The sequence below is a fragment of the Homo sapiens genome, chromosome 6, assembly GCF_000001405.40.
Source record: "Homo sapiens chromosome 6, GRCh38.p14 Primary Assembly".
Lineage (NCBI taxonomy): Eukaryota > Metazoa > Chordata > Mammalia > Primates > Hominidae > Homo > Homo sapiens.
The window spans coordinates 127,260,620-127,288,566 of record NC_000006.12 but is presented as its reverse complement, the minus strand read 5'-3'; the positions used below and the strand labels follow the sequence as shown (position 1 = coordinate 127,288,566).

At 36.6% G+C, this 27,947-nt stretch overlaps 1 protein-coding gene across 18 annotated transcripts, besides 3 other annotated features; it reads right to left on the bottom strand.

Annotated features, from left to right (window-relative positions):
- Window positions 1-4: 4 nt before the first annotated feature.
- On the bottom strand, window positions 5-21,885 carry RNF146 (ring finger protein 146). Of its 18 annotated transcripts, none has more exons than XM_047419389.1 (6): window positions 21,642-21,703; window positions 8,227-8,336; window positions 6,172-8,051; window positions 3,219-3,359; window positions 2,390-2,517; window positions 5-1,951 (listed from the first exon to the last, which is right to left on the bottom strand). In XM_047419389.1, the coding sequence occupies exon 6, from the start codon at window positions 1,948-1,950 to the stop codon at window positions 874-876; it is 1,077 nt and encodes a 358-aa protein (XP_047275345.1). In that variant the 5' UTR covers window position 1,951; window positions 2,390-2,517; window positions 3,219-3,359; window positions 6,172-8,051; window positions 8,227-8,336; window positions 21,642-21,703; the 3' UTR covers window positions 5-873. The 18 variants fall into 18 exon arrangements, with proteins under 18 accessions (XP_047275345.1, XP_047275344.1, XP_011534463.1 ...); XM_047419388.1 differs by having other exon boundaries at window positions 3,219-6,280; window positions 7,963-8,051; XM_011536161.4 differs by lacking the exon at window positions 3,219-3,359 and having other exon boundaries at window positions 6,172-6,280; window positions 7,963-8,051.
- Window positions 21,015-21,074: an enhancer, noted in NCBI's record as "active region_25039". NCBI's record gives its function as "activates an Ori minimal core promoter by ATAC-STARR-seq in GM12878 lymphoblastoid cells {active_cell/tissue: GM12878}" and the evidence as "EXISTENCE:reporter gene assay evidence [ECO:0000049][PMID:35858748]".
- Window positions 21,275-21,544: a silencer, noted in NCBI's record as "silent region_17527". NCBI's record gives its function as "represses an Ori minimal core promoter by ATAC-STARR-seq in GM12878 lymphoblastoid cells {active_cell/tissue: GM12878}" and the evidence as "EXISTENCE:reporter gene assay evidence [ECO:0000049][PMID:35858748]".
- Window positions 21,645-21,744: a silencer, noted in NCBI's record as "silent region_17526". NCBI's record gives its function as "represses an Ori minimal core promoter by ATAC-STARR-seq in GM12878 lymphoblastoid cells {active_cell/tissue: GM12878}" and the evidence as "EXISTENCE:reporter gene assay evidence [ECO:0000049][PMID:35858748]".
- Window positions 21,886-27,947: the final 6,062 nt, after the last annotated feature.

The following is a 27,947-nucleotide window of genomic DNA, read 5'->3' as shown; positions in this document are numbered from 1 at the left end:
TTAGTTTTATTTCCATACATGTTTATTATATACACACTGCCTATAGATTCTGTTTAAATAATCTCTAAGAAAAAAATCAAACTTTTCTGAGCAGGTGATTAAGCTGAAAACAACCAATTAAAACCACCACTTTTTAAGTGACCTTTGGTCACAAATGTCAAAATGTTTCCACACCCTTTCCACCCTCAAACAAGAGACAAACTGTTTTTGATAAACTCTAGTATTTATTAAATTATAAATTTTGTAATCAAAAAGAAAAATGCAGACCAAAAAAACCTCAAACTATAAGACTAGACAGCAAAGCCTATGGGAACACCATGAAGTGTGTTACAAACATTCTGAAACATAAGTTACTGGCTGTTTTCATTTCCATTTCAATAACTTTACTATAAAATAGTTGTTATTCATCTATTTTGAAATCCCAAATTCACATCTATTCATACATTAAATTATGTTTCCTGTTCATAATATCAAACATCTCACAGGTGCCAAATTTTAGTAATGGTCTTATGCCAATCCATGCAGAAAAATAAGACACAATGCAGGAGTCAGATGAGGACCATTAATGCACAGATAATACAAACACACTGGCCAAAAGAACTACAGAAGTTTTTAAAAAGTATAAAGTAAACAGACCTCAAGAAAACTGGGTTATTACTAAACAGCTCTCAACTATTAACACCCAAGTTCCTTACATTAAATAAATTTCTCAACAGAGACATGTTAGACATTTTAATTATGAGTCTATCCTTCCCATACCCCTTCCCACCCCAACTCCCAAAATGCACTACTAGGGATGAGTATAATGTTATGTGGGCAGAAATTTACAGGTAACCCTTTCAACCTTGAGCATGGAGCTGAAGACATTTTTATTTAAACTTCAGTTACTGTGCACTGTCCATCAGGCCTTCTAGATCTGACACTGACACTCACTGTTCCACCCCCTGCTACTGATCGATCAGTTCCCGATCGATCTGATCGATCGGGTACTGTCTGGTTTGCATTAGAAACCAAAAGTCTCTGTTGGGTCAAGGAGTGCTGTGCAACAACTGCAGATACATCCTCACTATCACTACTGGCATCTGATTCAGTTTCTTCAATGGAGGTGTCTGGTGCTGGTACCCTGCCTGAAGATGGTGATTCATGATCTTCTTCTCCTTCTCCCCTATGACTCCTTTCAGCTGTGTTGTCTCCACTGAGTTGTAAATGAGCAAAAGAGTCTTCCAGAGAAGTGCTTGCATCAGGGGATGGTGTTGCAGGGCTTGTTAACTGACCATCTACTGATGTTAGGGGCCTTACAGAAGACACTAGGGGCTGAACAGAAGCTCCACTCTGTGCTGATACACTGTCCGCTCCGTCAGCAGAGCTCTCTCTTGCTAGGTTTACGGTATTAGCATCACAGTCTAGCCTAAGTCCAGCTACTCCCTTCTTTGGTATATCTATTATATCTCGCTTAATCTTCCTGCGACGTCCATGTTCATTTCTCCTATATTGAACCATGTTTTCAAGATCAGCGACATACAGAAAGCCAGCAATTAACATTTCAGTGTTCTTTTTACCTTTGGAAAAAGCATCTTCCAGCTCTCTACTAGTGCGCTCATCGTACTGCCACCACCCATTTCTTCCTTCATAATACCATGCATATTCACCATTTCCTCTACTTGCTGCCTTGAGTTCTTCTGGTGACAACAAGGTTGGCTTGTCAAGGAAATCCTCGGGAATTTCTTGTCGACAAAGAGCACACCGCTTTCCAAGCCATGAAGCTCCTTTTACACATAGATAGCAGAAAACGTGCTTACAGGGCAGACTGACTGGATGAACACATGTTTGCAGACAAATGGCACATTCAGGGACGGTTAAAGAAGGTGCAGTATTAGAACAGGACTCGTTCGCTTTCCTGTTTGTAGGAAGCATGTTTATTGAATGATCAATTTCACCACAGCCAGCCATCCTAAGAAAAAATACATATAATATTAAAGTCATGTTTTAATTCTTGCAATATCTTAATTTAACAATTATGAAAACACTAACCACCTATGATGTGCATTATATGCAAGCCACATACTAGACAATGGGGATATGAAGATGAAAGTAGAGGAAAAACTCTCCAACCGATGAAAATTTTTTGTAAGCATCTACTTGTACATACCTTGGGAATGTATAAAAATTCCATCAGTGCACTTAACAGATCAGCCCTGGAGAAACACACTGAAGAACTATATAATGAAAAGCTGCATCCAGTGAGGGGAAAAGGATACCTTGAATCATGGCAGCTATTATACAGTGAAATGAATGCTAGACAAGAAATCTAAAAATCTGAGTTTTAGAGTCCTTTATTAATTATGTGCTCTTAGGCACTCAGTTAAACCATTAGTCTAAATTTCCTTACCTGCAAATCAGAGTTTACAAAGCTCAGGTAAAAATGGACAAAAAAAGTGCTTTGTAATCACTAAAGCTTCATAAAGGTAACAATCATATAAGACCAAAGGAGAAAATAACATGAATATTGAAGATCCCCTGAAGAGGAAGAAGAAAAAAGATTTGTCAAATTGGATGTATCTAGCTTAAACACTGACATAAAATTTATAATTTCTGCCTTATTGATTCAGATAAACATTTACTAAACACCTGCCATGTTCCAGATACAATACTAAGTACTGATGGGTCTAAAGATAAATAAGACACACAACTACTCTGTTAAATAAGGAAACATACATGCAGATAATTACAATATGGCCTGATTCCTGCGTAATCAAAATGTGTTAACATACTTACTAAAATAACAGTAAGAGAGAGATGAGAGGATGGACATAGGTTAGAAAGTTTAGTGTTCATTCAGAGGGGCTGGGCAGTGGAGCAGATTCCAGGCAGAAGCACATGCAAGACACTGAGTCAAATAGTCATACAAGCAATGGAAGAGCAGGAGATGAAGGTGTAAAGGTAATCAAAAGTTAAGTCATGAAAGCCTTATTGTGTTATTGTGCCCTGCCAAGGAAACATCTAATTTTTTTCCCCATGGTAAAAAAAAAAAAAAAAAGACATTTTAAAAGGGGAGAAAATAATGGAGTAAACCACTGATAAGTAAAAAAGACTGAGAAATAAAGATGAAGATGTCAGAGATTGAAAGCTTAAAATGAATGACAATCTCTCTGCCAGCTAATTCTGCCATTCTAAATGGGTCAGTAGTTACAAAAGATATAGTCAACAAGAATGCTTACGCTCATCAAAAATTGAAAAACAATAATCCTAGGCTATCATCACAGCACATTCAATCTTCAAACAATCCTTTTTTTTCTTTTTACTGCCTTTTCTGTGTTCTTGGTTCCTCAATAGACAAGGCTCAAAAAGATGGCAATTTTCTAGTAAAGGAAGCAACACAGTAAGTTTTTAAAAAGATGGCACATATCTAGTAAAGGAACCAACACAGTCTCAATGGAAGAACTGATCACTAAAATGTTTAATTTCCAAATTATTTTCAACTTTTAATAACATTTCCAATCAATTCCTTTACCAGAAATTCTAGGTTATAGACATCAAGAAAGTACAACTTTCTCCTAACCTATGGAAAGTTCTAAGTCAGGGGTGTCTAATCTTTTGGTTTCCCTGGGCCACACTGGAAGAAAAAGAATTGTCTTGGGCCACACATAAAATGCATTAACACTAATGATAGCTGATAAGCTAAAAAAAAAAATCACATAATGTTTTAAGAAAGCTTATGAATTTGTGTTAGGCCGCTTTCAAAGCCATCCTGGGCCACATGTGGCCCACAAGTTGGATAAGCTTGTTCTAAGTAAACCCTAATAGGACGTCTTAGTATGTTAAGCACTATAAAAGCTTTCAAATATTTTGAGATAAACACTTGCCTTCAAAGATCTTGTAACTTGAAACAACAATAAGTTACAAAAGAAGGCATATGTTTTTAAAATAGCCAATTACACATTCCCTGCCTATTTCCTCCCCTAAAAGAATTGGCTGTGCACACATTTTGTTAGGTTTTCAGAAACTTTCATCCCTTTCGATTTAGGTCAAAAAAGTTAGTTTCCATAAAATTCCTGAAAATCTTTTTGTTCCAAGTTCCATATTTATTTAAAGCTCCAATTAAGAAAAAGAAAACAAGAAAGTGATCCATTTACAAGTAATAATTTAAGAAAGATTCTACTCATGATTCTATTCATGAGACTAAATAGAAAAATGGGCTGATGACCACCATTACTTTGGAAAAACAACAGCAACATCTTCATATAAGAAGTCTACATCTTAAACCATCTAAGTACCTTATGAACAAAGGACAGGATCATAAACTGAAAACATAAATAAAAACAGAGTCTGGTAAAATGAAAACAAGACACCCAACATGTCACGTGGACCAATGCCATGCTTTTAAATACATAATTCCAAACCTATTGTATTTGCTTTAAGTAAAATGGGCCCAAGAAGTCAGTTTTCCATCACATACAGCTCGTTTATCTACAGAAAAAAAAGTTTCCAACCTAAAAACATTATCCTCCACCCTACTTAATATGATTAATATTTTGCATGACTCTTACTCTTGCATTTATGAATAAACCAAAACACATAATTTCAAAACTAAGAAAGCAATTACAATCATCCCAGGAGAAGGCATGAATTATAATAACATAATTGGAAAGGCAAAACAATCCTGTTTGTGCAGGTATTTTGGTTCCATCATCAGAATGAAGTGAAGTTGGACAAAGTTAATCTGCAAACAATGGACACCAGACAGCTAAATGGTCATTATTTCATCTGAAGCACTCTTAACTATCAATTTGCCATAGCAATTTATAAATTCTGATTCTGTTTAGCCCATCAAGTATACTGTTAGTCTATCACCAACTAACAAATGGGCAGAAAAACTTAGTGATATTTCTTATTTAATTCTGAATGAGGCACATGCAATAAGTAAGATAGAGATAAAATGTGTAACAAGATAGACACAAAGTAACCCCAAACTGCTAGTCTACCTATAAGACATACTTCAAGGCTTTTTAAAAAACCATTTTAATCTACCCTACACAGTCTCTGTTTTGCAGTTCCAATGATCTTAAAATAGGTGGGAGACTAAATGTATGCAGATGATCATACCAATATGTAAATAAGAAAGCTTTTCCCCTCCCTTTGTGTAGAGCAAGTATTAATGCTAATCAAAAGAGGTATTCCCTATCTCATAAATGTCTCAGAAAATTCTAATTTTGAAAAAGGGAATTTATTTCCAGTTTACTAAACTAAGAATTTAATACACAGAAATTTGGAGTGACGTTAGTCCAATTCTATTAATAAGTATAATACATCATTTACTTTCAAAGACGTTTTTACTGAATTCTTCATGTGATATTCCAACTTTTAAGTATAAATCCCCTTCTTCCAATAGATAAACCATGTGAAATATTTCTGCCAGACTAATAAGAGTCTATTAATACTAAGTCTTCTTCTCAAGAAGACAAAATATAGAGGGGTATGGGCAGAGTTAGTGGAAATCTCCAAGAACTCAGATTTCCTTGAAACTTCTTGGACAACTAGTCAAATGAAAGGCAAAATTATTATAAGCAAAAAAGATCTTTAGTATGTGTAGTATTCAAGAAATTTTTAGCTTGCAATAAAAACTCCAAATATTAAAAATCAGATTTTTAAAGTCTGAATTTAGAATCCAATTACAGACACACAAAAAGGGAACAATCCTACATATAATTTCAAGGGGCTTAAGGATTTCTATGAAGCTGGTCCACATATGAACCACTAATGAGACAAGAGGAGTTCACTGAAAGGTTTTACGTCAGGAAATAACAGCCAGTTTAGTAGCTTCCAGACCATTTGAACAGCAGGTTGGAGGAAAGTTTGGTAATGCAGGAGGAGGTATGGCGAAAGGGAAACTAGAATATCCAGGTAGTAATGCAAGTATAAGATAATTAGAGGGAGGTTGCTGATGTAAGTTTCCAACAATAGAATAGAAGAATGCTAAGGAAAAAGAAATGAAAGCATTTGATTACTGATGGATGGTGACACATTCACCAAAATTCAGAATTTGAGGAGAGTTCTGTCTCAGACATAATGACTTTATTAAGGTCTCCAGGTGGAGATAGGTAGATGACAGCTGAATTTACTAGTTTGATACTCCAAGAATAAATCTGAGCTGAAAAAAGTCTGGTGACTCACCAACACATACATGGTCCTTGGAGCCATGAAAATGAGTAAATGCCCAAATTAAACCTGTAGAGAGAGCAGTCAAAAGGGCCAACCACAGAATCTTGAATTACTCCAATATCTGTGAGGTAAAATAGCCAGGAAGGGGTGTAAGGAATGGTCAGAGAAGAACAGGAAATAAAGATAGACCACCACCACAAAAGCCAACAAGGGAGACATTCGCAAAAAAGAATAATCAAGCAAGTTACTCTAAGTGACAAAAATTTCACCATACAATTCACTTTTGTGTGGTGCAAAAGTTGTGAACCCCACACACTTAATAGCTATTTTGATTTCCTAAACACCATCAATCCCAGTAAACTTTTACTCGGCCAAGACATCTTTCTTTCCCTATTCCCCAGAGACTATCATAAAACTTCTCCCTCCTAGTTTATCGATATACTAACACCTGTATCACTGAGAAATTAGGTAAGTCAAAAATAAATCCTGAAAATCTATCTTTACCTTTACTGTCTTATCATTATTCCTCCTGGCTCAATATGGGGTACTGCTACTTGTTTACAAAGCTAACCCCTCAACATCTAGTAAGTACTGTCCCCTAACTCCTCCAAGACTGATCAATATACTCTGTCCCTAAGTATCAAAATCAATTAAGATTGATTGTATGTTAAATAAATGTAAAATCTGGTAATATAGTAAGTACTAAATAAATGTTCACTCCCTGCACTTATTTTGAAGTCTCTTTCTCCTACCCTGCCTTCCCACATATTACTGTTCCCTGACTCCTCTAAAATGTGTTGATGATTAGGCAGCTGTTTCCCTCCTCATTCCCTTGGCTTGAAAAATATTTCCTAATTTTCTTTGACTGTTAAAATTCTACTCATTCTTTGAAGGCAAGGTGAAACTTATTCTGTTCATTCTGAACCCTTCAGATGAAATTAATCTCTTCCTCTGTTCAGTTTCAATAGCATCTGATTGTTACCTTAATATGGCATCTATTCCACTGTTTGTTAATTACATACATGTCTCATTTACTGGATCACAGTAAGTTCCTTGATGACCAGCACCTAGACTATCTGACCTATTAAGATTTTAAAAAATGTATACAGATAGATAAATGGACAGGATTAAATAAAATATATATTTTTAAAGACAAATGCTTATTAGTATCATTTTTCAATTATCAAATTTTCAATACTGAATAAAAATAATATGGTCATACTTTTAATAATAAATTAATTATTGTTAATACATATCATTACATGTAACCAGTATCATACTGGAAGAGTAGAAAGCAAGAGTTTTATGTCAAACTGGGAAAATGTGAAATAGCATCTACCAAGGTCACTCTTGCTCTAATAAGAAAAACACTGTAATTAAAAGTCAATAAAATATTCACTACATTTTTCATGAATGACATCAAGTTGCATAGGGCTTATATGAATTTAGAAAACAGAAATATATTCATAGTGAAAAATGTTTCATCAATACGGTGAAGTTAAATATGGACAAATCCAAGGTAGTGTGTAACACTTTAAAGCATATCATGCAAAGATAAATGATGAAAGCACAACTAGTAAAACTGGGGATCAGAGTGAAGTGATATGAATAAAATGCAGTGATGTATTATTACATTAAAAAAATCAATTATGTAGAAATTCCTTTAATTTAGTGAAACAAGTTTTTAGTAACTAGAGTTTTTATAACCTAGTAGTCTGTCTTATTTACAAAAGCTAGTACTACTTGCCTAGCTTAGTTATTTAAGAAAATTATTATGTAAAAAGAAGGTAGAACCCAGAGGACCTGGAGATCTATTTCAGCATTCTTTGAGCAAACTCCTGTGTCTTCAGTTTTTCTTATAGAGACTTTTCCTTTTGAGGAGACTTGGAAATCTACATTAACGATAACTTAATGTAAATAAATTGTTAATAAAGCACCTATAAGTCAAAAGAAAATGCTCATTTAATATAATTAAAACTACATATGACAGATACTCAATTTACCACACGTTAAACCAATCCATTTAATTTACTGCAGCACTGAAAAAAACCATGATGCTACACTTACATTTCTATTACAGATCCCACAGATGCCTGCCACAAAAATAAAGCATTTTCTTCACCAGCAGTCAGCCAGCTTACAGTATTTTCTCTTCCACTGCTGGTTCATTCTTTGTGCTGCAAAAGAAAAAAAGAGTAATTAAGATCAAGAGAATCAGTTAATTATGTATAATCCTTTCAAAAAATTCAGTGGAAAACTTTATCTTAAAAGTGGGAAAAATTAAAGACAAGATGCATGCTTTTACCACTGCTATTCAACATGACTGTAAGTTCTAGCAGAGCAAATTAGGGAAAAGAGATAAAGGCATACAGACGGGTAAGGAGGAAGTAAAACTATGTCTATTCTCTCTAGATAGAAGATCTCATAGAATCCCCAAGAAAGCTAATAAACAAATTCAGCAAAGTTGCAGGTTACAAGTTTGACACACAAAAAAATCAGTTGTGTTCTGATACACCAGGAGACAACAATCCAAAAAAGAAATCAAGAAAACAGTTCATTCATAAAGTAACTAAGGGAATAAAATAGCCAGGAATCAACTTAACCCAGGAGGTGAAGGACTTGTACACAGAAAACTATAAAGCATTACTGAAAGAAATTAAAGAAGAGCTAAGTAAATAGACAAGTGATGTATGGATTGGAAGACTTAACATATTAAAATGACAATACTACCCAAAGTGATCTACAGATTCAACATAATTCCTATCACAATTCCAACAACCTTTTTTGCAGAAATGGAAAAGCAATCCTCAAATTCATATGGAATTGCAAAGGACCCTAAGTAACCCAAACAATCTTGAAAAATCCAATGTCAAAACTTACTACAAAGCTAAGGTAACAAGACAGTTTGGTGCTGGCATAGGACAGATAAATACACCAATGATATAGAATTGAGAGTCCAGAAATAAACTCATACATCAATAGCCAACTGATTTTCCAAAAGGGTGTCAAGTCTACTCAATGGGGGAAAACAGGCACCTCTAACTAATGTTGTTGGGACAACTGGATTTCCACATGCAAAATAATTAAGCTGGACCTCTACCGTATACTATATATAAAAGTTAACTCAGAATGAATCAATAACCTAAATATAAGAAATAAAACCATAAAACTCTTAATAGAAAACACAGGAGCAAATCTTCATGGCCTTAGATTTGCAATGGATTCCTAGATATGACATCAAAAGCATGAGAAACATAGGAAATAAATTGGGCTTTATATAAGTTTAAAATTTTTGTGCATCAAAAGACACTGTTAAGAAAATAAAAAGACAAACTGCAGAATGGGAGAGTATCTTGGCAAATCATGTATCTGATAAAGGTTTAATATCCAGAATATGTAAAGAACTGCAGCTCAACAACAAAGACAAACCAATTAAAAAGTGAGCAAAAAATGAGTAAAGAACTTAAAGAAGATACACAAATGGCCAATAAACACACAAAAAGATCCTTAACATTATTAGTAATTAGGGAAATGTAAATCAAAATCACAATGATACATCTATAAGGAGGCTACAACTTTTTTAAAGGGAAAAATAATAAGTGTTGGTGAGGATGTAGAAAAATAGGACCTTTGAAAACTGCTGGTAGGAAGGTAAAAGGGTGTAGCTGCTGTGAATAATAATTTGTTGCTTCCTCAAAAAGCTAACACAGCAATGCCACTCCCAGGGATATAGCAATAGAATTGAAGAGGTTCTCAGACACTTGTATGCCAATATTCACTGCGGAAATATTAGGCAAAAGGTGGACACAATTCAAGTATCTACCAACAGATGAATGGATAAACAAAATGTGGTCTATAAATACAACAGTACATTATTCAGTAATAAAAAGAAATATGTGCTACAATATAGATGAACCTTGAAAACATACTAATAAGCCACATACAGAAAAGTATGATTCCACTTACATGAAATATCAAGAATAGGCAAATTCATAGAAGCAGAAGGTATCAGAAGTTACCAGAGAGTGAAGGAAGGAAAGTGGAGAGTTATTGCCTAATGGGTACAGAGTTTCTGTTTGTAATGCTAAAAAAAAGTTGTGGAAAATCTATAATGGTGATAGTTGCATAACATTGTAAATGAAATTAACTACATGGAATTGTACTCTTAAAAACCTGTACCATCTCAGTCATTAATCTTCTTTCTTCTCATTTAGTATTTCCATCTCCACCTCACCATGTCCACTACAGGACGCACATCATATTACACAGAATAATCAAGAACACATGATAACTAAAGAAATGATAGATCTCACAGTAAACACAAGATAGAGGAGACTTCAATCTTCTTTTATTTCCATGTGGCTCTCATACTATGGGCATCTATCTCCCTACGGTATCTTAAGATTCTAGTGTTTAAAGAAACATATTCTTAATGCCATTATGTGGCCCCTAAATACAAGCTGACTTATCCTACCAAATGTTTAACAGAACAAACAATTTGTTTTAAAATCAGAGAACTTTCAAAAGTAACTGACTGTGATGGTTAATACCGAGTGTCAACTTGATTGGAGTGAAGGATACAAAGTATTGATCCTGGGTGTGTCTGTGAGGGTGTTGCCAAGAGATTAACATTTGAGTCAGTGGGCTGGGCAAGGCAGACTCACCCTTAATCTGGTGGGCACAATCTAATCAGCTGCCAGTGAATATAAAGCGGGCAGAAAAATGTGAAAAAGAAAGATGGGCCTAGCCTCCCAGCCTACATCTTTCTCCTGTACTGGATGCTTCCTGCCCTCGAACATCAGACTCCAAGTTCTTCAGTTTTGGGACTCGGACTAGCTCTCCTTGCTCCTTGCAGACAGCCTGTTGTGGGACTTTGTGATCGTGTAAGCTAATACTTAATAAACTCATATATATATTCTATTAGTTCTGTCCCCCTAGAGAACACTGCCTAATATACTGACTAAACAAGGTTTCTAAGTAACCTTTTTGTTTTACTCTGACTTTAGATGAAATGGACTCCACTATTTTGACTTTCCTCTCAACCCTTTCACCAACTTCAAGGAGCCTACAACTTCAATGGCATCAAAGAAGGCTATGTTCATTTCCTTGCTGCAGCCTACGCCAAACAGAAAACTGCACATTTTCATACACTCCCTATATATAGGACAGGAGGAGACAATTTACTGCTCCAACATCATTACTTTTTCTTTCAAGTCTCTATCACACTGACTTTAACATACCCCATAATCCCCTAAAACTGCTCTCTCACCACCTGTAAGGGATTAATGTCATCTTTTCACTACTGATCATCCTCTTCATCCTAACTCCTGACATGACTATCAGCCTATTTAAATAGCCTTGAAAATGAACCATCCAACACCTATTGCACAGGTTCTTAAACTTGTCCCAACTTCTATTCATCAGAATCACTGAAATTGCTTGTTAGAAATACATATTCTCAGCCCCTTTCCTTAGAAATTCTAGGCCAGTAGACATAGGTTTAAACCTAGGAATCTCACCCCAGGTGGTACTCATGCTTTAGTCCTTCAAATACAATCTGAGAAACACCATCCTCAATTTTCAGTTCCTTAAATCCTAAATTTGAAGAAATTAATCTACTCTCCAGCAACCAAATATTATAATCACATTTAAAGCTAGTTGTCACCTAAACTGCTGCCTCTCTGAAATCTTAATCCGACTCTCAGATCACAAGCTCTGGTTCTTCCAGCCTACTCATTCCCACACCTGCTCTTCAATTTCATGGGGACCTACCATCTCTTGACCATCTCCTTTCCTTTATCCAGTTCCTGATCTCATTTCCTTTCCTGCCCATTCTGGAACCCAATCTTTTTTACTTCTTAACAGAACCCTTGGCCCCCTCATATCTTTATCTCATATACACACATTTTACAAACCCCCATTTCTGCATAATTCTTACAATATGACATCTCAGGTTTCATGTCTTAACTACTTTGTGTTCATGGAGAAAAAGAGAAAGTCCTTTCTCTCACCACACAGCCCCCTGCTCCCCCACCCCAACCAACCACACCATAAATTCTGTCAACTTTTATTCCTAATCCCTTTGGAATCTATCCTGTACTCTCTACCCATTGCTAGTGCCCTAGTTTAAACCTACATAACTCTCACCTGGACTATTGTTCAGCCTGATTATCTTGTGTCAGTATCACCCTCATTTATTAAGCCTTTGAGTGAGATTCTCTCTCTCTCACTCTCTCACACACACACACATACACTCACTCTACAGTCTGTTTCCCAGGCTAGAATGCTGTGGCATGATCATAGCTCACTAAAACCTCAAACTGCTTGGCTCAAGCGATCCTCCCATCTCAGCCTCCCAAGTAGCTAGGACTGACTGATATATTTAAAAGGCAAAATGGACCAGGTTTCTTCCATATGTGAAGCACAATATTGGGTCCTCAGCCTACACAATAAAGACAAAGCTCCTTAGGACAACATTAAAAGGTTTTAAAGATCTAAACTGTAAATAATTAGTCTCTAGTCTTTTTTATCTTCAACAACCACCCATAGATTAATAATCTAGTTGTATAAAATTACTCATAGTCCTGCAAACCTCCCTTTGTAGCTCTGTATTTCCTCCTGCCTGGTACGATCTATTCCCTTTTACAGCTTATGAATGCCTATTTGTTCTTTAATATATTACACAGAAATGGTTATCTCTACCATTTTCTCTGACTACCTCCAGAAAGTTAACTGTTCTCTCCTCTATGTTTTGTATGTTTTTCTATTACGGAATTTATCACATGCACTAATTTCAATTCATTTGTGAAGTCTGACTCTTCTGTGAAATCATGAATCCCCTGAAGATAGGGAGATTTTTATATCTTTAAATAGCTAGTAAATTGTCAATCAATTTTTGTTGAACTGATATTTTTTGGATGAATGAAAAATCAACTCCTAAAAGTAACTATTGTGAGGAACAGAATATCAAAGGATTAGATTTATTCAAATAACACAACACTTGAGTTCTAATTGTGAACTCAAGCTGGAATCTGTAAGATACATAAAAATATCTAAGTTCTAATCCTTGCTTTATATAACTTAAAATCTAAAGGAGTTCCTACATTTACAAATATAAAATTCAACCCATCTTTGTATCTTTTGGCAAGCAAATCATTTACCCAGCTATTGTTCATTGTCAATGAATTCTCCAAAATGGAGATAAAAATCTAAGCATAAACCAAGATGGGTTTCTGAACAGCCAAAACAGCTTCACAAAGCTCTTTCCCCAATAAAGCTTATGATTCTTCACTAGGATGACCACATAGGTCAGCCCAGCATCTATCCAGTTTGCCCTTGGTCTCCCAACAAGTGTTCCAGTTCAGAAAAATTATACAGACATTCTACCCTTTACCCATCACAAAGGTTTTCGGACCATCACTCAAAAGTCAATTTGCTCTTACTTTACCCACAATTCTTTTGTTTTGTTTTGTTTTAAGAGACAGCGTCTGTTAACCAGGCAGGAGTCCAGTGGTATGACTGCAGGTAACTTAAACCTCAAACTCCTGGCCTCATGTGATGCTCCTACCACAGGCTCCCAAAGTGTTGGGATTACAGGTGAGGGCCACCATGCCCAGCCTTTACCCACAATTCTAACTTGAAGTTTTTTGGTCCACAAAGTCCTGCTGAGTGTTGCTGTTGGTCATTAGCACTGCCTATCCTTCGCTATCTTACAAGTCTTTTAAGATGTACCAATCCATCCTTCTCAGAACCTAATTGATTGAATGGTAAAACCTCTAGTGTGAAGATTCAATTAAAACATTTCTTCTAAAAATTTCGTTCAATCACTATTTGTACTTTAATAATTGAGATGTGTAGAAGGTACCATTTTATTCCTAAGAAATACACAAAAAATGTCCTTGTTTCTAATTCTCCTTATCTCCTGAATGCATTTACACATTATCTGTAACCAATCTAATTTATTCCTCTCTATTCACTTACTTTACTTAGGTCTTATCCATAAATATTTTATCTCTGAAACAAAAGTTGATTCTTAAAGGAATCTAAGTTAACTGAAACAAAGCAGCTTCAAAATAAGTACAAAAAAATCCTCTAAAGAACCCATATTTGAACACCCAAATAAGCTGTGATCTTTCCTATAAAACTATTTCACATAGCTGAAATAAAGCTATAGCCACAAATATTAAAGTAAAAGCTTTGCTACATATCCACTAGAACAAAGGTACTAAAAAAAAATCTGGTTAATTCAAGGAGATGCATTCTCTCATTCTGCTTTCCTTATTTGAAGACTAATGATTAAATTCAAGTAACTTATCAATAGCAAAATTATTTGAAAAAGCCCCTTATAAAGAAAACACACACACACACAAACCCAGGAGCAGAGAACTATTTACTTAATAGTACTGAAATAACAGCAAAGTATCTATGAATAATGACTTTCCATCAATATAAACTTTCTCCTTCAACAGAAAGAACATCCTTGCCCTCATTACACTCCTCTAGTCCAGTTATGTTCAGCAGTAAACAAAAGAATGTATCAGTGACCATAACTCACATTCGAGTATCTTTCTATACATTAATGCCATTTTCAAAAGAACACAGCCAAAGACATATTTATTTAGCCTATTTCTTCAATTTTTTTTTTTCTAATTCTGGCCTGAAGTCATTTCTAGGATTCCTTTAGAAATGGCTTTCTCTAATTTTCAAAATATTGATGATGTCATTTCTTTCTTTAAAGATCTTTGACGATAACCTCATACAGCTGACCTTTCAACAACACAGGTTGGAAATGAACAAGTTGACTTATATACATACAGTTTTTTCAATAAATATGTTGGAAATTTTTTTGGAGATTTGTGACAATTTGAAAAAACTTGCAGATGAATCATGTAGTCTTGAAACATCAAAAAAAGGAAAAGAAAAAATTAGGTATATTATGAATGCATAAAACATATATAGTCTATTTTATCATTTAGTATTATAAAATATAGAGAAATTATAAGAAGTTAAAGTGTATCAAAACTTAGTAAACACAGACACATATGGTGCCACTTGAGGTGGTACAAGAAATTTAAACAAATGTAAAGATGCAGTATGAATCATAGCTGTATAAAATTAATTGTAGTACATACTGTAATAATTTCCTGTTGCTATTATGAATTTCCACTTAAAATGCTGTGGACACTAATCATCTCTGCATGTATTGGAGTAAAATGTAATCTCTTGTTCTTGTGTATTTTTCATCATGTTTAGTACAATACCATAAACCTTGAATAACACCATGGGACCCATGTGAAGTGCCACTAGTGATGCTAGAAGTGCTCCCAAGAAGCCAAGAAGTCATGCCATTACAAGAAGTTAAATTACCTGGTACACACCCTAGATGGGTCTGCAGCTGCAGTTACCCATCATTTCAGACAGACACCTTATAAACAGGTAACATAAACACAGTATCGGTAAATGCAGTACTGTAAATGTATTTTTTCTTCCTTAGGAATTTATTTTCCTTTAGCTTATTGTAAGAATATAGTATGTAATGCATATAACAAACAACGTGTTAACTGACTTTACAGTAGGCTATTAGTAGTTAAATTTTGGGGAAGTCAAAACTTATACTCAGATTTTCAATTGTGCAAGGGGTTGGCACCCTTAACCCCATGTTGCTCAAGGGTCAATTGTACTGCCCTCTTATTGTCTTTGAGCATTCTTTTATTTCACCTCTCATTATGCATTATCTTTCAAAAATACATTTGCGTAGAACAACACAACCAGGTTCTTCTTGGCTGAGATTTAGCCATCTTATGCAACCAATAAAAGTGACTCCAGATAAAAGCAGACAAAAAACTTAACAGATGTAAACAGGAATCCTACAGCAGCCCTAAGAGTCCACAGTTCATATAATTTTAGTAAATCTTGCATGCTTTGGTGACTTTTTCAATTTCTATATCCTCATGAATAATTTTTTCAAAGTGCAGACTAACTGGATAAATGCTGGGGAAGGAAAATGAATTAAAACTAACATAATGCTCTAGATCCTAGCTATACAAACAAACTGGGATTCCCAACTAGTACTATCAGCACTACCTGGGAGCTCTTCACAAATGAAAATCCTAAGTGCCACCCTAGACCTACAGAACCAGATCTCCAAGTGATTCACATATATTAGTTAGTGAAACACTACCAAATCCATATGTCACTGAATCCTCAAAACAACCCTGTGAAATATGACTATACCTATTTCACAAATGAGGAAGCCTAAGCTCAGGAAGTTAAATGACTTACCCAAAGTCAAAGCCATCAATATTGGGAGATGCGATTCAAATTCAAATTTACCTTTAAAAATGTCTTTCTACAATGTATTGTCTCTCACAGAAAAGGTCACGTATTATCTAATAGAAATATGATGCAAGCCACGTATGCAATTTCAAATTTTCTATTAGCCACATTAATAATAAAAAGAGGCAGGGCATGGTGCCTCACATCTGTAATCCTAGCACTTTGTGGGTAGTGACACAGGAGGATGGCTTGAGCCTAGGAGTTATAGACCAGCCTGGGCAAGATGGTGAGACCCCCATTTCTACAAAAATAATAATAGAAAGAAACAGGTAAAATTAATTTCAATAATATATTTTATTTAATCCAACGTTTCTACATTACTGCTTCAGTATGTTTCAATATAAATTGTTAATGTAATATTTTATGTTCTTGGGTAAGCGTATGCATACTTCTTTGAAATCCAGTGTGTATTTTACACTTACAGCACAACTTAATTCAGACTGGATACATGTCAAGTGCTCAATAACTCCATGTGGCTAGTGGCTACTTTACTGGGCAATGCTGGTCTAGAATGTCTTGCATATTAATCTTGTTAAATACAAAACTGACAAGTCACTACAGGAATTGTTTAATAGAGACAATGAATTCAATGTTAATTTACCTAGACTTTTGCCGAAGACACATTAAAAAAGAAAACTGCATATTCTGTTATAATCAAAGTTAATGGGTTTAGGTAGCCCCAATTCTGCCAAACTGACCCATCACCTATTAACTCTCAGAATTTATACAGTTGACCCTTGAACAATGTGAGGAGTTAAGAATGTCTACACCCTGCGCAGTCAAAATTCCATGTAAACTTTTGAGTTTCCAAAAACTTAACTACTAATAGTCTACTATTGCCTGGAAGCTTTACTGATAACATAAACAGTGGATTAATATATGTTTTGTATGTTGTATTATATATTGTTTTCTTGCAATAAACTAAAAAAAAGAAAACATTATTTAAAAAATCGTAAGGAGGCCAGGTGCGGTGGCTCACGCCTGTAATCTTAGCACTTTGGGAAGCTGAGGCAGGAAGATCATGAGGTCAAGAGATCAATACCATCCTGGCCAACATGGTGAAACCCCGTCTCTACTAAAAATACAAAAATTAGCTGGGCATGGTGGCGCACACCTGTAGTCCCAGCTAATTGGGAGGCTGAGGCAGGAGAATCTCTTGAATCTGGGAGGTGGAGGTTGCAGTGAGCCAAGATCGCACCACTGCACTCCAGCCTAATGACAGAGCAAGACTCCATCTCAAAAAAAAAAAAAATCATAAGGAAGAAAAATATGTTTACATTCATTAAGTAGAAATGGATCATCATAAAGGCCTTCATCTTTTTCAGGAGGACGAGAAAGAAACATTGGTTTTGCTCTCTCAGGGGTGGCAGGGGCAGAAAAAAAAAGTATTGTATAAGTGGAACTACACGGTTCAAACCTTTGTTCAATGGTCAACTATAATTTCAACTGGGCACAAAATAGGGCATACATGTAATACTTATAACAATCATGTGAAGAAGCCCTCAGAAAACTCCCACATTATTTGAAACCAAAGTTTTTTTAAAGTTGGAGGAGAAGGGATGCTTTTATTTTAACCAATAGGGGGATGTAAAACAGAACAGTATGATTTCAACTACAGGCCAGAATTAATTTGCCAAACATAAATAACTCAAACATACATAATTCCTACTGGAATGAATGACCTGTAAATTTTACACCAAACTTAATATGATGATGTATGAAGAAGGTAACATAAAAAAAAGAAAAAGTCTAAAACCAAATTAGATACTTTGCCCCTAACAATTCTGGAGGAAAAAAACAGTGACAGGTAAAACTTAAAAATACACAAAGGGGTTTAGGGATTATCAATGAATTTAAATCTTGACCCATTCAAATAAGTGAAAAATAAATACAACTAAAAATGAAGTAATATTGTACCATTTATAATTTGTAACAACTCAAAATACTCATACTCCCACTTTTCAAGTCAGTCACAAGATCAAAGTCAAGAGTTTTTTTCAGGTAATAGATTCAAGCAAGCGATTATCTTTAATCAAAGAAAAAGATGAGCATATAACATCAATATAAATACATATAAAAACAAAGACAAATATCAATTATAAATATTTGAAGACTTACTGTATTTTTCTAATTATTAACAGCTAATGTTTAATAAGATTTTTGCCATTTATTCAAAATACACAAAACAGTAAATGTTCTACATGAAATCACTCAGTGACAGAAAGAAAAAATACTTGAAATGTTCCAACTTTTGGTACACAACTCAAAAAAAATTATATATACATAAAAGGAGTAGATAAATCAGGTGTGAGTTAGCAGACACATCTTAGTATTTTTTATAAACCAGTCACAAATTGAGAGATGTAACTAAATGCCCTAATGTCTCAATTTTTAGCCCTCATCATCTCCTGCTAAAAATTAGCTAAGAAAAAGCATAGGTCATACTTGGAAACTTCAGACAAAACTCATTTCAACTAAATGGGGTCTGATACTTTAAAGAATTATTTCCCTTTAAGACGTTACTATGTGGCAGTCTACTTACTGCCTTCACAATCTTTATACTAGCCCATTAAACCCTTTAATTTTTCTCAAAACAACAAAAAAGTGAGCTTTGCATTTTATTTCAAAACATGAGATGTAAAAGTGAACGAATATTGTCTTTTAATCATATCACACACAGATGTTTCTTAGCCAGCAACCATTTCATAAATAAGAAAGCTCTTTGGCAAATTATCTGTGTGACCTTGGTCAAGTCATAACCCCCAGTCTTTTGTTATCTCATCCTACTCTATAATTCTGTAATTCTAAGTTCTAAATGCTTTAATTAGCAGTCCGTTAACAACATTTTGGATTTGAATTAACCCAAAAGGTAACACGCCATGAAAACTAAAGATAGTCCGTAAGTAAGCACAGGTGGTTGTAGCCAAGTGTTACATAAATTAGTTTCTATATCCACAAAGATGTTGTTTCACAAATTCAGATTCCTCAGGCACAAGGCAACCAAGAGAATGGAAAAGGCTCAGTACCTTCTATTACTAACACGGGAGAAAAATACGCATTCGAATTCCCAACTGTCAGTGCTGTTAGATGTTTCCTGGTAGTATATGGTTAACATATAAAATAATATTCTTTAAAAAGATCGATATTGTGAAAACAAAAGATTTAATATCCTTTTCTTCTTTTGACTCAAAATATCGTTTTGGATCCTTTAAAAAAAAAAGTCTGTTCCTTTCCTCTGACAAGTTAGGTTGGTGGAGACTGAAACAAAACACTTTGTAAGTTGACATCTCCTTTTAAAAGAAGTTATTTCTTTTTTCTTCTCTTGTCTAAAAGACCAGCTATTTGGAGAGAGTTTTCCTGATAATTATAATTCTACCAAGTTCTGAACAACCAGCGAAGAAAAAAAATATTTAAATGTATTTCCAGTCTGCCCACATGATACACTGGCTCATTTGAGACATAAATTCTAAATGAAAGATTGGGCTGAACAACATCCTCCACTTTAAGATATACAAGGCACCAAAACAAACACATCCAAAATCTATTTTTAGAGTGGTGTTCACTCTTCCGGTTTTCTCTTTAAAACGAGATTTAGTTGACCTATTTTCATGTGTTTTTAGGGCACCCAGACACTCTATACAAACAATATTTGCTAATCATAAAACAGCAAAGCCAAAATCACAAATCCTGTTATCTGTGTGGGACATTTTCTCCACGTGTCCTTACGTGCCATGTCTTTGAAAAGTCTAAATATAGATTCACTGACTAAAATGTCCTAAGTCTTCCAAATTCTATAATTATATACTGGATTGAATGCCAATATTATACGTTCACATCCCATTTGAAAAGTACACACACGAGGTGGGGGGGATGTGCCCACTACCTGAAATGCCAATCATACAAAGAACAAAGCGTACCCTATCATCTTTGGGCTTTCTTCTCTCCTCAGTTCTACACTGTTTCGATATTACAAAAATATTAAACAAAATGTTCAAAACTTGAGAAATAAGTGCTCACTAAAATGGCACTTAGAGAAAATAAATTAAAACATATACCAATATGATTAACGAGAAAAGATTCTAGTTGCCAGGATGTGTGTGTAAACTTACAGTCCTGTAGGTTTTACCTGTGGAGAGGACGGTTCCGTCTCCACTCTTAAAACAATTTTACATTCTTTAGAAGCCTTAGCAAAATAAATAGCGACAACAATGGAAGACCCACACTCCTTCAGACGGGATGGAGGGTAGGAAGAGAACTCCCCACCCAACAATCAGAACAAAGCAACAGCCTCAGCTTTTAAGATGCAGAGGGTTTGGAGGCTCAAGGGATATTCTGAGATCTCTTAATTGTTCCGATGCTTCAACAGCCGTCAAAAACAACTAAGAATATGCAGCGCTGGGCTTCACTAGGACAAGGTGCAGGGATTGCTCTCTTCGTTTTAGGCAAGACCGAGACACTGAGCAGGAGAAAAAAAAGGAGGAAGAGCGAGAGAAGAGAAAGCAGCAGCCAGAGACACTCCGGGAAAAGGCAAAAATGCAGACTGTACGCCCTGGCTTCGATCTGACCCAAGGCCCAAACTGTCTGACCCCACACGGGAAAACATGGAGCAGGCTACCGCCGAAAAACCATCGCCGCCCCTACACCTCGAGGCCAGAAGGTCCCCGGGTAAAGGCCTAAAACCACGGCCCAGAGGGGAGGAGAGGGACCCGCCTGCCACCCGAGGCAGCGAAGCGGGCTCAGGCGGAAGAGGCTGCGCAGTAATGGCCGCTGCTCCGCCCCTCGCACCCGGACCGAGACCAGCTCCGGCCGTCACCCAGGGCAGGGGCTGCGGCGCCCTCGGGCAGCGCAGGGGCTGTCACGGTCGTCTTGCCTGCCCCAGCAGCCAAGGCGGGGGTGGCGGAAAGGGCTGAACTGTCCCATCCCGCCTCTGCGCGGACAGCCGGGGCCGCGCCAGCCCAAGGGCGTCCATCTACGTACCGGCCCCTGACCCCGCCGCCGCCCCTCTCAGGCCCCGAGCGCAAGGCCGACCCGGAGTACGTTGCGGCTGGAGGTGACACCGCGAGCTATGCCTCCTCTCCCCGAGTGAGGATCCTAGAGTGGCCGGCGTTCACCCTGCTCCCCCGAGAGGGCCTCGCTCCGACTCCCACCTCTCCGGCCACAGCTGCGGCCACCTCGCAGTCTTTTCTCTCTGGCCTCGGAGCCCGCAGCTGCCGGGAACGCGCGCGGCCGTCACGTGACCACCCGGCGCGTCGCGGAGGAGGGGCCGCGACGCGCCGCGCACCCGCACCCGCACCGGCGAGCTAACTCCGGCGCCTCATCGTTCTGCCCCTGTCTCGCGCCGCTGTCTGCCGGTACTCTCTTGCCTGTGGGGAGCGGCGACTTCGCTGCTTGCATTCTTCTGGCTTCTTTAGAGTGTGCTTGCTTTGTATTAGGGCCCAGAGGCTCTGAAAGAGTGCAGTTCCAACAGAAAGAGATTTGGGGTGGAGGAAGTAAAACGTGTGTAGGACCAGCAGGTGGTGCTGCTCAAAAATCCAGCTTTGCTATCCTGAGGAAGCTCTGGGGCGCCTAGCTGAGTTTCGGCTTAAAGATCCCTTAGCAAAAGTACTGCTTGTTCCCTTTCAAGAAAAAAAATGGGGAGGGGGGGGACGGAGGGGAGAGAGTACTGTAGGACTTTCCAATTTGTTCTCCTTTTTAATGGTTGAGCAATTTAATCGGGGAAAAAATGAGTATTAGTTTTCTTTTGAAACCCCACCCTTTTTTTAAAAAAAACAGAATAGTGCCTGAGAAACTGAAGAAATTAATCTGCATGATAATCTAAAATTAAAGAGGTTATTTTGATCGCAAGCCTGTGGTTTTAAACATCAGAACTCTAGCAGTAATTCACCATTTTAGCATGTACATTTCCTTTTTCAGAACTGATTAAATTTTCCTAATTTGTAGGAAAATGAAGAGGGTGGAAGAGCAGACCTTTTATCTTTAGAAGAGTATGTATTTCAACATTCTATGACAGCGTCTTCTCATTTGCATTAGTGTTGCATTTTGGGATTTCATTAACTGTTTGATTCAGGATTGGAAGTTTTCAGTGTCCTTATAGGTATAGAAATGTATATGTTTTCTGTTATTCCTCTGAAATCAGTTTATTTCAGGGTTCTCATTCATATATATCAATATGTAACCCAATCTCTTGAAGGGTGCATCTAGTTCAGTGATGCTTGCGCGTGTATGCAATACTGTTCCATACATGTAGAAATATTGAAGTGTATATCCTTTAACTTTAAGCTTAGTTTTCTATCTTTATCTTCTTATTAGCCACTCAGTTTTGTCCCTCTATCCTACACAGCCCATGAACAGAGAATAGCTAAAATTTGATATGTACTCGAAGATTCCAGCTTGAAGAGGTAATGCTAATATTAACTAACAATGTGCCAGGTGTTGCTCTAAGTGCTTTATTCATATATACCCACTTAATTCTCATAATAAACTATGAGGTAGGCACTATTATTATTCCCATTTTACAGAGAGAGAGACACACACAGCTGAGATTTGAATCCAGGCACAGACTGTAAGATGTCAGCTAGTTCAACCCCTTCTCACTCATACCCAAGGTCTTTGTATTTCAGTAAATGGTTGCATCTTTCCTTGTTCAAACCCACCTTTAACTCCTCTCTTTTATGTCTTATATGCATTTGGCATATAACCTGTTGGCTCTTCCTTCAAAGTATATCCAACTACTTACCACCTCCGCTACAATCTGCATCATCTCTTGTTTGGATTATAGTGTTACGGTAGACCAGGAACTAGTCTTTTGACTCTATCCTTAATACAGAATCCTAAATAAATCTACTTAAAAAGAAGTGAGATCGTACCACTCCTTTGCTCAAAGTCTCCTGTGGCTTCCCAACACAAGTAAAAACCAAAGTCCTAACGATGGCTTTAAAATCCTCCCCTCATTACCTCTTTGACCCCACAGACTGTTTACCCAGCTTTGTATTCCCAGAAAGCTCTCCACAAGCTGCCAACCTCATAGTCTTTGCAGTTGTGGTTTCCTCTGCTTAGAACACTCTTCCCCATCATGCTCCCTCCATATGTGCTCAGATGTCCAACTCTTCAGTCAGTCCCTCTACTTGTCAGCATATTTTAAGTCATGATGTTTCCATTCCCAATATTTCATATTTCCTCCTTTACTTTTTAATACTTATCACAGTGTAATGGATAATTTATTTTACTTACTAATCTTCATCATATTTCTCATCACATTAGGACGCAAGACACAGGAGGCCAGGAATGTGTGTTCTGTTTTGTATCTCAACTGCCAGGAATAGTGCCTGACACACTTAAAGAGGTTCTCTGTAAATATGTGTTACATGAATGAGTAAATGAATGAATGAATGAATGAATACACACATGGCCGGGCAGTAGCTCACGCCTGTAATCCCAGGACTTTAGGAGGCCGAAGTGGGCGGATCACGAGGTCAGTAGATCAAGACCACCGTGGCTAACACAGTGAAACCCTGTCTCTACTAAAAACACAAAAAAATTAGCTGGGCATGGTGGCACGCGCCTGTAATCCCAGCTACTCGGGAGGCTGAGGCAGGAGAATCGCTTGAACCTGGGAGGCGGAAGTTGCCCGAGATCGTGTCACTGCACTCCAGCCTGCACTGCAACAGAGCAAGACTCCGTCTCAAAAAAACCCCAAAAACCACATTTGTGTATGTGAGTGTGTATATATATCCCCATTTATATATATATATGAATATATATATATCTCCATTTATATATATATATGAATATATCCCCATTTGTATATATATATGAATAAAAGTGAACTTCTCATTTTTCAGTAGTTGCATATGAAAAGCAGAATTGAATGCATGGAATACTATACACCCTACCTCCATCAGCCACTTGAAAGAAAGATAGAAGTTTATATCTTTGAATAACACAGGACAGCACCTCTCAACATTGTCAGAGTGCTGGTTTCCAGTAATTAAGAGTAACTGGTTTCCAGTAATTTTAAGTACCAAAACTTCAAATTATTTGCTTAAATAAATCAGAGCCTAACAGTTTCAATGTATTTCTGTAATAATGTTACTGTCACTGGGATTCCATTTTGCTTCATTGAATCAAAGGTAAAGAAGTTGCAGCTGACTGCTAGGAATTACCCAGTTGCCTGTTTGCTTATAGCTTATTGTCTATTTCCCACAACTTACAAAATACTTTGCTGAATACCACACATCTCCAGGCACCTACTCTTCTCCATTTATCCTTCCAACACTCAAAAATTGTCCAATGTTATTTGTTTTACTTAAGGATCAAAGCATTTTTTTTTGTTTACTTAATATCTGAAGACATCCATGAAAATGCATGAGAAAATGATGTGTTACAATAGAATGTACGTTGAAACCACTCGTGGCTAGTTTAGGGCGGCGGTGTTCCAAGTGTTATCTAGTGACCCATAGGGGTCCTTTGACTCTTGCAGAGTGTCTGAGGGAAAATTGTTCTTATAATAATACTAAGACTCTAGTTGCTTTGTTTACTTGCACTCTCAAATGTACAGTGGAGTTTTCCAGAAGCTACATGGTATGTGATGTAGCAATAGATTGATTATAGAAGCAGATATGAGAATTTGACTATATCTATTAAACCAGTCATTAAAACGATGTAAAAAAAAAAAAAAAGTAAAACTGCACTCTTCTTTCATTCAGTTAGCTTTGTTTTGGAAAATGTAGTGTTTTTTTTTTTAATAAAGTATGTTAATACAATGAGTCATTTTTAAATGAATTAGTATATATTGTAAACCATTCTCAATTTCAACTTTTAATTTGGTAAATATTGATTAGCTCATAAAAGTTTTTTGGGGTCTTCTATAAATTAGCACTGTCAAAGGGTCCTGAGACCAAATAAGAATGCTTGTCTGGGGCTATTTTGCTTACCAACTCTAAGTTAAATTTCTTCCCTTTTCACATGCCGGCAACCATCTGATAGCTGTGGACACAACTTTCTCATATGCCTGGAAACAGAACAAACCAGATTCAGGAATGTACCAGTCATTATAGCTAGCAGATGAATGGAAATCAAACCAAGAGGAAGCTTTGGAAAGCAAACTTTGTTTATTTTAATTAAAAACTTTGTTTCCAGAGCTGATACATAGGTTGGTTTCTGTCCTATCATTTGATGTTCTACTTACAGTAATCAAACAGTATATTATTTTCTAGTAGAACTCCTTTGCAAATAATAGTACACTAGCCAGTTTAGCTTGTGTTTTTCTTTTACCTACTGTGATTATCAATGCTTTCTCTTCTAATGGTTCTTAATGTTCCTGCGTTGCCCACAGACATTACAACTGAATTAGGATAATGTATGGCTAGAAAATAGCCCCAAGAGTCACTGAGTTAAACTTTATAGTTTGACTATAAAGTCAACGATGCATTTATTTCCTAACCTGGTTGTATGTATATAATATGTATTTATTAATTTTTAGATGTCTTATATTGACAGTAGTAGCTCTGATGTCTCCAAAGTCCATGCTTGTTTCATTAAATGACATAACCTTTCATTGACCATAGTATTAAAAGATAAGAATAAATGCTGTATTTTAACAGTGGAGGTTTTTTAAGCTAGCTTATTATTTTAACAAAATAGTCCCTTAAACAATGTACTCCATCACATAAAGGAAATTGCTTAAGGTCATCAAGGCAGCAACTATGTTTTGCAATGTCACATTTTCCTGTATCAGTTTAATATAATTATAACCTAAAAGTTTGAAGTATTTTCACAGAAGTTTGTCAAGCAAGATTCTCTTTGGAAAACAAAAACCACCTTAAGTATTTCAGACAGAGACTCTAATGTAGTGAAATGGTGGTGAAAGTGTTAGAAAACTGGAGGAACCAAAAAAGAAAGATGAAGATACCTTGAAATCAGTAACTGCAGAAAGTCACTGGCTCATCTAAGTTTGGAGGAGCAAAGGGTGTTCTGGGAGCTCCTGGAGGCTGCTAGAGCACTTTTTATGAACTGCTATAATAGGAAGTCAGGGTCCCATATGCACACTGAGCCTGCAGAAGTCCAGGAACTCACAGCCATAAGCAGTCACCTACCACTCCAATGTCAGAACCAGAAACGAATAGGAAAGAAATCACCTTCTCCTTTCCACTTACTTTTTCCATGTGATTGCCTTCAATTGACAAAACTAAACAAGAAACCATCTGTCAAAGGATTCTCAAAAACAACTTTTTCCAGCTCCATTAGATATAAAGCAGAACATAGAAATGCCATTGTGAGACTGGGCATCAAATATGTGGTTCAAAAAGTTTGAAAAATGATTTATTATATTGCTCAAGGTGATATATATTCTGAAATATGGAAAGAACTAGAATAATTGATTGCCTATTATTTTCTAAGCTCTTAACAAACCATTTTTTTCACCATAATGATCCAGGTCCACGAATATCTTTTCATCATTGTTCTATGAGACAACTGCAACTCATTGAGGTTACCAGTGTTCACAGGTAGCCCAGAGTAGAACCACGGTGAAGAGAGAGAGACCAGCTGAGGGGAATATGGACATGCATCAGTAAAGGTTCAGTAAAGACACGATGAGTCCTAGGATCAGGAGCGCCATAAACTAATTCGGGCATGCTACTTACTGTATCCAAATGTCAATTTTTTTATATGTAGCCATAAAACGGGTAAATTATCACCTCTATTCAGAGATTTGATAATGAAATTTAAGATAAAGTACTTGGCCAAGGTTGAAAAACCTTAGCTATTACAATTACATTATTTGACCTGTCTCAAATTCTGAGCTAGTTCCGCCAGAGCCTCTCATTCAGTCTACTAGAAAGCATAAGAATAAATACCTATAATTTCATAACTTCTATTGTCTTTTGGCAAAAACTGATAAATTATTTTCTTTTTCTGTTTTATAGAGTCTATATATATATATTTTTATACTTTAAGTTCTAGGGTGCATGTGCACAACGTGCAGGTTTGTTATATAGGTATACATGTGCCATGTTGGTTTGTTGCACCCATTAACTCGTCATTTACATTAGGTATTTCTCCTAATGCTATCCCTCCCCCAACCACCACCCTACAACAGGGCCCAGTGTGTGATGTTCCCTACCCTGTGTCCAAGTGTTCTCATTGTTCAATTCCCACCTATGAGTGAGAACATGCGGTGTTTGGTTTTCTGTCCTTGTGCTAGTTTGCTCAGAATGATGGTTTCCAGCTTCATCCATGGCCCTGCAAAGGACATGAACTCATCCTTTTTTAGGGCTGCACAGTATTCCATGGTGTATATGTGCCACATTTACTTAATGCAGACTATCATTGATGGACATTTGGGTTGGTTCCAAGTCTTTGCTATTGTGAACAGTGCTGCAGTGAACATACGTGTGCATGTCTTTATAGTAGCATGATTTATCATCCTTTGGGTATACACCCAGTAATGGGAT